The 9557-nt window shown below is 41.9% G+C and overlaps 2 annotated features.

Moving 5' to 3' along the window:
* Nucleotides 3605-3654: an enhancer, noted in NCBI's record as "active region_29504". NCBI's record gives its function as "activates an Ori minimal core promoter by ATAC-STARR-seq in GM12878 lymphoblastoid cells {active_cell/tissue: GM12878}" and the evidence as "EXISTENCE:reporter gene assay evidence [ECO:0000049][PMID:35858748]".
* Nucleotides 8871-8940: a silencer, noted in NCBI's record as "silent region_20718". NCBI's record gives its function as "represses an Ori minimal core promoter by ATAC-STARR-seq in GM12878 lymphoblastoid cells {active_cell/tissue: GM12878}" and the evidence as "EXISTENCE:reporter gene assay evidence [ECO:0000049][PMID:35858748]".

Consider the following 9557-nt stretch of genomic DNA (forward strand, 5'->3'; position numbering starts at 1 on the left):
ACAAGGGCATGGACCCTCAGGAAGTAAAGCTTGGATCACCTCACACCAGCAAGGGAAGAGGAATTTGGATTGCATGAGAGAGGACAGGAGCCTCATAGCTACTTGCAAACACAAAGACTGTTGCTGATCCTCGAATTTTCTTCCTTGCCAAATATATATGTTCATAAACAATTTCTCATCTCTTTGGCTCCTTTTTCCTCAATGTGGATAAACTTGCTATTTAGACCATAGGTTACAGAATTGTGATGAAATTAGAAGAGGCAGAGGTCTGATCCAAAGATCTTTATCTTGGAGGTAGGTGCAGAAATGGAAGAGACTTTGGTGTGTCTCTCTTTGGGAAATGTGAGTCCACTTTCCGTTGTAAGAGGAAAAAATCACATTATTTTAGGCAACAGAATTTTGGAAAGTTTATCTATGGGAAGCTATGTCCAAAGGGATGGACTATTCCGTGGGGGAAGGCGGTACCACCCACATCCATTCATCCTTCCTGACAGCACGCATGATCACCTCTGGCCAGTTCCCTAGGTGTGCACCATCTTGGTGGAATGATAAATCGAGGATCTAGCAGAACTCTCACTACAGAAATGAAGAGGCCCCTGAAGGCAACATCTTCCAGATTCTTCCTCTAATCTCTTCAACAGAGCCAAGGTGCCAGCATGTTGCCGAAAGTATGTGAGGGTGACTCACTCCTCCGGAACTTTTAATCCTTTAATCCTAAACGGAGTGAAGCAAGTCTATTCATTCCAGAGGCAGTGCTGGGAAAGACTGTCAAACCATGGAGACTTTCTGGAACTCCCTGATTCTGTTTTGTTCCATTGGATGAATCTACTACAATTTATTTTTCTCTATCGACATCTGGGGCTATCTCGAATACTGCTGCTAGGAACATTCTTACACTTCTCTTTTGGTGCACATGCTCACACATTTTTCTTGGGCACGTACCCAGGAGTAAAACTGATGGGCTGTAGTTGTAAGATTGCAACATGCATTTTAGATTTGTTGAAGTCTAATGTTAACTGGCATTTTTGCCTACTTCCCAGACAATGCAAGGACTCTAGAACACTTCATTTATACCCTCTCCTGACCTATATGCCATTATAGCTGTGTATATTAAGCCTCCCAAGACATTATTTTCATTGTATTTTATAGTCAGTATTAATTTAGAATGGCCCACATATTTACAATTTCAGTTGCTCTTCATTCCTTCCTGCAAATACAAACTTTCATCTGGGATCAACTTCTTCCTGCCTGAAGGATACCTTTTAGTATTTCCTTTAAGGAAGTTTGTCAGCCTTTTGTCTGAAAATATTTTTATTTCACCTTCAATTTTGAAGGTTATTTCCAATTAATATATAATTTGGGATAGGCAGTTATTTTCTCTCAACATTTTGAAGATCTCATTTTAGTTTCTTCAAACTTGTTCTGTTGGGAAGCTAGCTGTCCTATTGCTCCTTTGAAGGCAATTGCCTTTGTGTGTGTGTGTGTGTGTCTGTGTCTTAAGATTTTGTTTCTTCGTTTTTAGCAATTTGACTATGATGTACCTAGCTGTGGTTTTATTTGTATTTATCCTGCTTTAGATTAATATTGATACTTAAATATATGGCTCATATGTTTCATTTGTTTTAGAAAATTGTGAGCTGTTATCTCCAAAATATTGCCTTTGTTCCAACTTATCTCTTCTTTCCTGCTGGAACTCCAATTACCCTTTTGTTAGATCTAGTCATTGTAACCTATGTTTCTTACCCTGTTTTCTTCTTTTTTTCCTTCTGTACTTTGTCATGGATTTTTTTCTCCCCATCTATCTTCCAGTTCATCAATTATTTTGTTAGCTGTGCATAATATACTGTTAAACCCATTGATCAAGTCAATTTCTGTTACCGTATTTTTTTTTGTTTTCAATTTTCATTTGGTTCTTCTTTTCCTAGTTTCTAATTTTTTGCCAAACTTAAAATCTTTTTTTTTTTTTTTTTTTTTTTTTTTTTTTTTTTTTTTTTTTTTGAGATAGAGTCTCCCTCTGTTGCCTAGGCTGAAGTGCAGTGGCGTGATATCAGCTCATTGCAACCGCTGCCTCCCGGGCTTAAGTGATTCTCCTGCCTCAGCCTCCCGAGTAGCTGGGACTACATGCGTGCACCACCACGCCTGGCTAATTTGTGTGTTTTTAATAGAGGGGAGGTTTCACCATGTTGGCCAGGCTGGTCTCAAACTCCTGACCTCAAGTGATCCACCTGCCTCGGCCTCCCAAAGTACTGGGATTACAGGCGTGAGCCACCGTGCCCGGCCTAAATATTTTAAGTCTTTGGACATATTAACCACAGTAATTTTTAAATTGAAATCTAATAACCTCATCTGAATCTCTGTGGTTCTACTTCTGTTGTCTAGTTTTCTTCTTTTTCTCATTTTTTCTCACCCTCTCGAGTAGCTGGGATTACAGGCGGGTACCACCACACCCAGCTAATTTTTCTATTTTTAGTAGAGGCGGGGTTTCACCATGTTGGCCAGGCTGGTCTTGAACTCCTGACCTCAGGTAATCCACCCACCTTGGCCTCCTGAAGTGCTGGGATTACAGGTGTGAGCCAACACGCCCGGCCTTCTCCTTTATTCTTGAAGGACATTTTCACTAAGTATAGATTGTTATTGTTATTTTTCTTTGTGCTCATTGAAATTATGTTTTATTTTTGTCAAAAAGTCCACTGTTTCTTCTTTGTAGGTAATATATCTTTCATGACTATTTTTAAATTTTTATTTTTGAAGACTTTTTCTTCAGTTTTGATGCGATGTGTTAGGTATGGATTTTAGAAAGTCCTATTTGTGATGCATTGGGCTTCTGGAATATACGGATCAATGTCTTTTATCTCAGCTTCCGTCACTTGCAAATATGCCTCTACCTAATTCTTGCTCTCTCTTTTCCTTCTGGAACTCCAACTACATGTATGTTAGACTTCTCACATTATTTCCCATGTTAGCTTCTCTTTGTATTTTGTTTTTGTCTGTATGCTAAATTCTGGATAATGTTTTCTGAACCATCTTCCAACTGGCTATTCTTTCTTCATCTCTATGTTATTTACTGTTAAACCTATCCACTGAATTTTCAATTTTGCTTACTGAGTGTTTTTTTATTTCTAGAAGGTCTATTTTGTTTTTCCAAGTATTTGGGGTCATCTTTTTATACAAAAGTATGTTTGTTTTTCCAAGTTTTGGGGTCATCTTTTTTTTAACAAAGTAAACTTGATTTTAGAGTAGTTTATTTTATTTTTGAGATGGAGTCTCGCTCTGTTGCCCAGGCTGGAGTGCAGTGGGATGATCTTGGCTCACTGCAACCTCTGCCTCCAGGGTTCAAGCAATTCTCCTGCCTCAGCTTCCCAAGAAGCTGAGATTACAGGCATGTGCTCCTATACCCAGCTAATTTCTGTATTTTCAGTAGAGATGGGGATTTCACCATGTTGGCCAGGCTGGTCTCAAAGTCCTGACCTCAAGTGATCCACCAACCTTGGCCTCCCAAAGACAACAGTTTCGGACTGACAGAAAAGTTGCAAAGATAGTACAGAAAGTTCAAGCTGCAAAGATAGTACAGAGAGTTCCCATATACCCTGCCTTCAGTCTTGCCTATTGTTAACATCTTACATTATGGTACATTTGTTGCAACTAATAAGCCAATACTGATATTATTAAATTCCTGACTTTATTCATATTTCATTAGCTTCCCGCAACGTCTTTTCTGCGTTCCAGGATCCCTCCCAGATATGTTATGTATAGTCATCACATCTTCTTAGCCTCCTCTGGACTGCGACGGTTCCTTACACTTCACCTGTTTTTGGTGACCTTGACCGTTTTGAGGAGCGCTGGTCATGTATTTTGCAGACTATTCCTCAAATTAAGCTTGTCTGATATTTTTCTCATGGTTAGACTAAGGTTACAGGTTTTTAGGAAGGAGGCTGCAGAGGTGATGGGCCCTCATCACATCACCATCAAGGACACATGCTATCAATGTGACTTGTCACAGATTACATTAACCTTGATCACCTGGCCAAGATGGTGCTCGTGAGGTTTCTCTGCTGTTATTTTCCACCCCAGTCTTTTAATACTGTCTTCATTGGAAGTAAAACTCTAAGCACAGCCTGTACTTAAGGTGTGGGGAGTTAAGTTTTACCTCCCTGGGGAGTGCGTAGCTACATAAATCATGTAGAATTCTTCCATATAGGAGACTGTCCATTCTGCCTCATTTCATTTATTAATTTTTTCAATTGTTTATATTACTGTTGAGTCATGGATTTTTTTTTTTTTTTGACAGAGTCTCTGTCACCCAGGCTAGAGTGCAGTGGCACCATCTCAGCTCACTGCAACCTCCACCTCCCCAATTCAAGCGATTCTCCTGCCTCAGCCTCCCGGATAGCTGAGATTACAGGCATGCGCCACCACACCCGGCTATTTTTTATATTTTTAGTAGAGATGGGGTTTCACCATGTTGGTCAGGCTGGTCTTGAACTCCTAATCTCAGGTGATCTGCCCACCTTGGCCTCCCAAAGTGCTGGGATTACAGACATGAGCCACTGCACCCCGCCGGATATTTCTTGTATGCTTCAGATTATAATTCAGTACTACATTCTTCATTTTATTTCCCCTGTCCAAATTGTTCCAGCTTTGGCCATTGCTAGCTCCCCTCAGGTGCTTCCTGTGTCCCTTTGACACAGCCCCATCATTTTGTTGTTTGAGCACTTCATTATCTCTGGCCCTTCAAGATGCTCCAGGCTCATTTTGTATTTTCCCCGCCCCAGTCCTAGAATCAACAATTTCTCCAAGGAACCCTGGGTTCCCTTTTTTTTTTTTTTTTTTGAGATGGAGTCTTGCTTTGTCACCCAGGCTGGAGTGCTGTGGTGCAATCTTGGCTCACTGCAACCTCTGCCTCCCCAGTTCAAGTGATTCTCCCGCCTCAGCCTCCCGAGTAGCTGAGACTACAGGTGCATGCTACCACGCCCAGCTAATTTTTGTATTTTTAGTAGAGACAGGGTTTCACCATGTTGGCCAGGATGGTCTCAACCTCTTGACCTTGTGATCCGCCTGCCCCGGGCTCCCAAAGTGCTGGGATTACAAGCATGAGCCACCACGCCAAGCCCCTGGTTCCTTTCACTGGAGAATATGGTATTAGAAACCAAGAAGGATCACTGTTTAGAGTTGTTTCTTCTTGCAGATATTTTAAATCATGTCTTTTATTCTTTAAATAAAGTAAGCATTTAAAAAATTGGTCTCGGCCGGGCACGGTGGCTCATGCCTGTAATCCCACACTTTGGGAGGCCGAGGCAGATGGATCACCTGAGGTCAGGAGTTCAAGACCAGCCTGGCCAACATGGTGAAGCCCCGTCTCTACTAAAAATACAAAAATCAGTGGGGCGTGTTGGCACACGCCTGTAATCCCAGCTACTCTGGAGGCTGAGGTGGGAGAATCGCTGGAACCCGGGAGACGGAGATTACAGTGAGCCAAGACTGTGCCACTGCACTCCAGCCCGGGCAAGAGAGTGAGACTCCATCTTAAAAAAAAAAAAAAAAATTAGTCTCTCTCTGAAGTTTTGGTATGTCTGTTTCTGTAGTCAGTTGTTTCAACTGGCTCCCACTCCTGGTGCCTTGTTCTCCTGTTTATTATTAATTTTTTTTTTTTTAATAGAGACAGGGTCTTGCTCTGTTACCCAGGCTGGAGTGTGGTGGCATGATCGTAGCTCATGGTAGCCTCCAACTCCTGGGCTCAAGCAATCCTCCTGCCTCAGTCTCCCGAGTATCTGGGACCACAGTTATGCACCACCACCTGCCTGGCTAATTTTGTGTTTTGTAGAGACGAGGTCTTGTTATGTCGTCCAAGCTGGTCTCCAACTCCTGGGGCTCAAGGGAGCCTCCTGCTTCAGCTTCCCAAAGCATGTACAGGTGTAAGCCAATATTTTTTACTTTATACTGGTTGCTGTACTTGAAAAATTATTCTGGAGATTCACTGAAGCCCAAGATGAAGCTGCTTTTCTCAAAAAGATTTTGCATTTACTTTTTCTTCTTGGATTACTCCTCATCTGGGACCATTTTAGATGAGGATACAATTGTAATTTCTCTGAACTACCCAGACACTGAACTTGTGCTGCAAATTCACGCAAAAGCCAGCTTCATGGGCACAAGATTTTTTTCCTTTTCCTTTTCTTCCTGCTCCAAATATCGCTAAGCCAGTGCAATCCCAGCTTAGCCTGTAAAAGGCCTCCTGTTATTTTCTCTACCTTGGGCAGGCCCTGGCATTGTTTTATGTCCAAATTGTCTCATTAATCCACTAAAATTGAAGCACAAGTGTTTCTTATTAGCATACCACCTTGGGGTAAGCATGGTTTTGTGCTTTAAAATTATCTTTCTATAGGCTTCTGCTTTTTTCTTGGAGCTTAGCCTGGAATTTACTTACTTTTTCATTAGCTTTTTAATGTTCTTAAGATTTAAAATTTTAAGCCAAGTGCAGTGGTGCGCATCTGTATTCCTGCCTACTCAGGAGCCTGAGGCAGGAGGATTGCTTGAGGCCACGGAGTTCGAGACCAGCTTAGGCAACATAGTGAGACTCCCATCTCTTAAAAGAAAAAAAAAAGATTTACAATTTTATAAAGTCCTTAAAACAGCATGAAAAGAAAAAAAAATTAAAAAATAAAATGTTATATCACATATTTGTTTTCAATGGGATGGTTGGTATAAATAGTACAGCCCATCTTTCCCAGAAATAGCTTTTTAAATCTAGGGACGCTGTCTTTCTTTGGTTCTGGAAAATTCTCAGACATCATCACCTTAAATATTGCTACCTCCTGATTCTAGTTTCTGTCTCTCTCTGGAACTTATATTAAATATGTTTTGGTGCTTTTCAATCTATCCCCCTAGCTCTGAACTACTTTTTCATATTTTTCATCTCTTTATCACTGACTCTGGATGACTTCCTCAGCTCAGCCTTCTAAATCACAAACTCACTCTTTGTGTCCATTCTCTTGTTTATCTCATTATGCTGGGCACTTGTTACTTTGTCCCCAGATTCATTCCCCATCCTCCTCTACCCTGTGCTGTGTTGCAGGGAACTATATACCCCATGGTCTTTTTTGTGTAAGTTTGGCCTGTGGGAAGTATTGGCAGATGACTTGAGGGAGAGATAAGAGTGAAACTAGGGTATTTCTCTCCCTCTGTCTCGGCTTTAAGCAATGTCTCTGGAAGAGACTGTGTCTCCATCTCCTGCCAGATAGCTGCACCTTCCATGGTCTCAGATCCTGCTGTGGTTCTAGCCCCAATCAGATAGCTCTAAATGCTTAATTCTGGTAATACACCCTCCTTCTGCTGTCCCTTTAGCCATAGGGGAGGTAGCAGCTTTTCTTCTTTTCTTTTCCTGTTTTGAATCTCTGGGATGTCTCACCATCCCCTCTTGGCTTCTAAGTTCCTCTGTCACCTGTGTAATAAATTCCTTCTATAAAGATGCCTCTGTTGAAAATATCTAGAGAGATTTTTCTTTTCCTAACTGGACCCTGACTGATATACCATCTAAAAATTAGTTCAGTGGCTTTAAAAAGGTTTCCAAGAGTTTCATCTATTTTTATTTTTTTTTTGAGACAGAGTCTTGCTCTGTCGCCCAGGCTGGAGTGCAGTGCTGCAATCTCGGATTACTGCAACCTCTGCCTCCTGGGTTCAAGCAATTCTCCTGCCTCAGCCTCCCAAGTAGCTGGGACTACAGGTGTGTGCCACCATGCCCAGCTTTTTTTTTTTTTTTTTTTTTTTAAATTTTTAGTAGAGATGGGGTTTTAACATGTTTGCCAGGCTGGTCTCGAACTCCTGGCCTCAAGTGATCCGCACACCTCAGCCTCCCAAAGTGCTGGGATTATAGGCGTGAGCCATCGCACCTGGCTGAGTTTCATCTATTCTTGATTCATAACCATCTGCTTTTTTTTTTTAATTAATTTTTTTTTTATTTTTGAGACGGAGTTTTGCTCTTGTTGCCCAGGCTGGAGTGCAGTGGCATGATCTCGGCTCACCGCAACCTCTGCCTCTCAGGTTCAAGCCATTCTCCTGCCTCAGCCTCCCGAGTAGCTGGGATTGCAGGCAGGCGCCACCACGCGCGGCTAATTTTGTATTTTTTAAATAGAGATGGGGTTTCTCCGTGTTGGTCAGGCTGGTCTCAAACTCCCGACCTCAGGTGATCTGCCTGCCTTGGCTTCCCAAAGTGCTGGGATTACAGGCGTGAGCCACCGTGCCCGGCCTGTTTGTTGACTTTAACTGCACTCATTTTTAAATCCTTTCCAGATTGCTCTATTACTTCTATTTTCTTTTATGTGAATCTTCTTATATGTTGGGTTTCATTGTAGCCTTTGTAATTTTTTTTTGAGTGCTCATCTTACACGGAGGCTTTTTTTCTTTCCCACTCTCCCTGGAAAATGGTTTTATGATTGCTTCAGCCCAGTGTCCTGAGAACAAAGTTCAGTGGCTCTGGGCTCTTGCCCTGTGAGTATATCACAATTCCAAACCGGGAGCTTGCATGAAATGTATTCCTGGTGCCTGCTGTGTAAATATCTCTGCTTTTCCACTCTATCACAGGCAAGAACTTTGTTTCTAGTTGCACTCTCCAGCAGCTAGGTAAGAATTTTTCAGACATAGCTGGTTGAGCATGAGCTCAGTGCATCAGTTTTCCTGTGAATAGGTGTGCAGTGGTTCCTTATTCCTTGGAGTTGAAATTCCAGACTTCGCTATTTGTGTCAGGTCCTGGGTGCTATGGGCCAATGCGTTAAGCTCCCACTTATTGCTATGGGTTTCCACTAAGTTTCCAGTCCATGAATTTTAAAAATCATGTCCTTGAGTATTTTCTGAAACACACCATCATTTCTTACATTTTTGAAACACAGTGAAGAAAGCTTAGCATATGTTCCCCCTGAATCAACACAGTACAGAACCACTGTTTTGTCTAAAGTCTTGCTACTCAATGTGTGGTCTGTGGGTTCGTTTCAAATGCAAAATCTCAGGTCCACCTGGACTTGCTGAATCAGAAACTGCTCTTTAACAAAATTCTGCAGATGATTTGCATACATATTAAAGTTTGAGGAGCACTAGTTTAAGGGTCAGTTAGTTCTAGTATAACCAACCTGAACAAAATCAGACCTTTAGAAAGCTTTTATTTCCAGCTGGGTGTGGTGGCTCACACCTATAATCCCAGCACTTTGGGAGGCCAAGGCAGGTGGATCACTTGAGGCCAGGAGTGCGAGACCAGCCAGGGCAACATGGCAAAACCACGTCTCTACTAAAAATACAAAAATTAGCTGGGCATGGTAGCATGTGCCTGTAATCCCAGCTACTCAGGAGGCTGAGGTGAAAGGATCGCTTGAACCCAGTAGGCGGAGGCTGCAGTGAGCTGAGATCACGCCACTGCACTCCAGCCTGGGCGACAGAGTGAGACTCCATCTCAAAAAAAAAAAAAAAAAGGGTTGAATTCCCTTCCTCCCTCTCCTATCTCTTCCATGTTGATATATCTTGAATTTTAGTTACAATTTGGTATTAAAGACTATGAATTTTATAAGCAATAATTT

This window comes from Homo sapiens, chromosome X (assembly GCF_000001405.40).
Source record: "Homo sapiens chromosome X, GRCh38.p14 Primary Assembly".
Classification (NCBI taxonomy): Eukaryota; Metazoa; Chordata; class Mammalia; order Primates; family Hominidae; genus Homo; species Homo sapiens.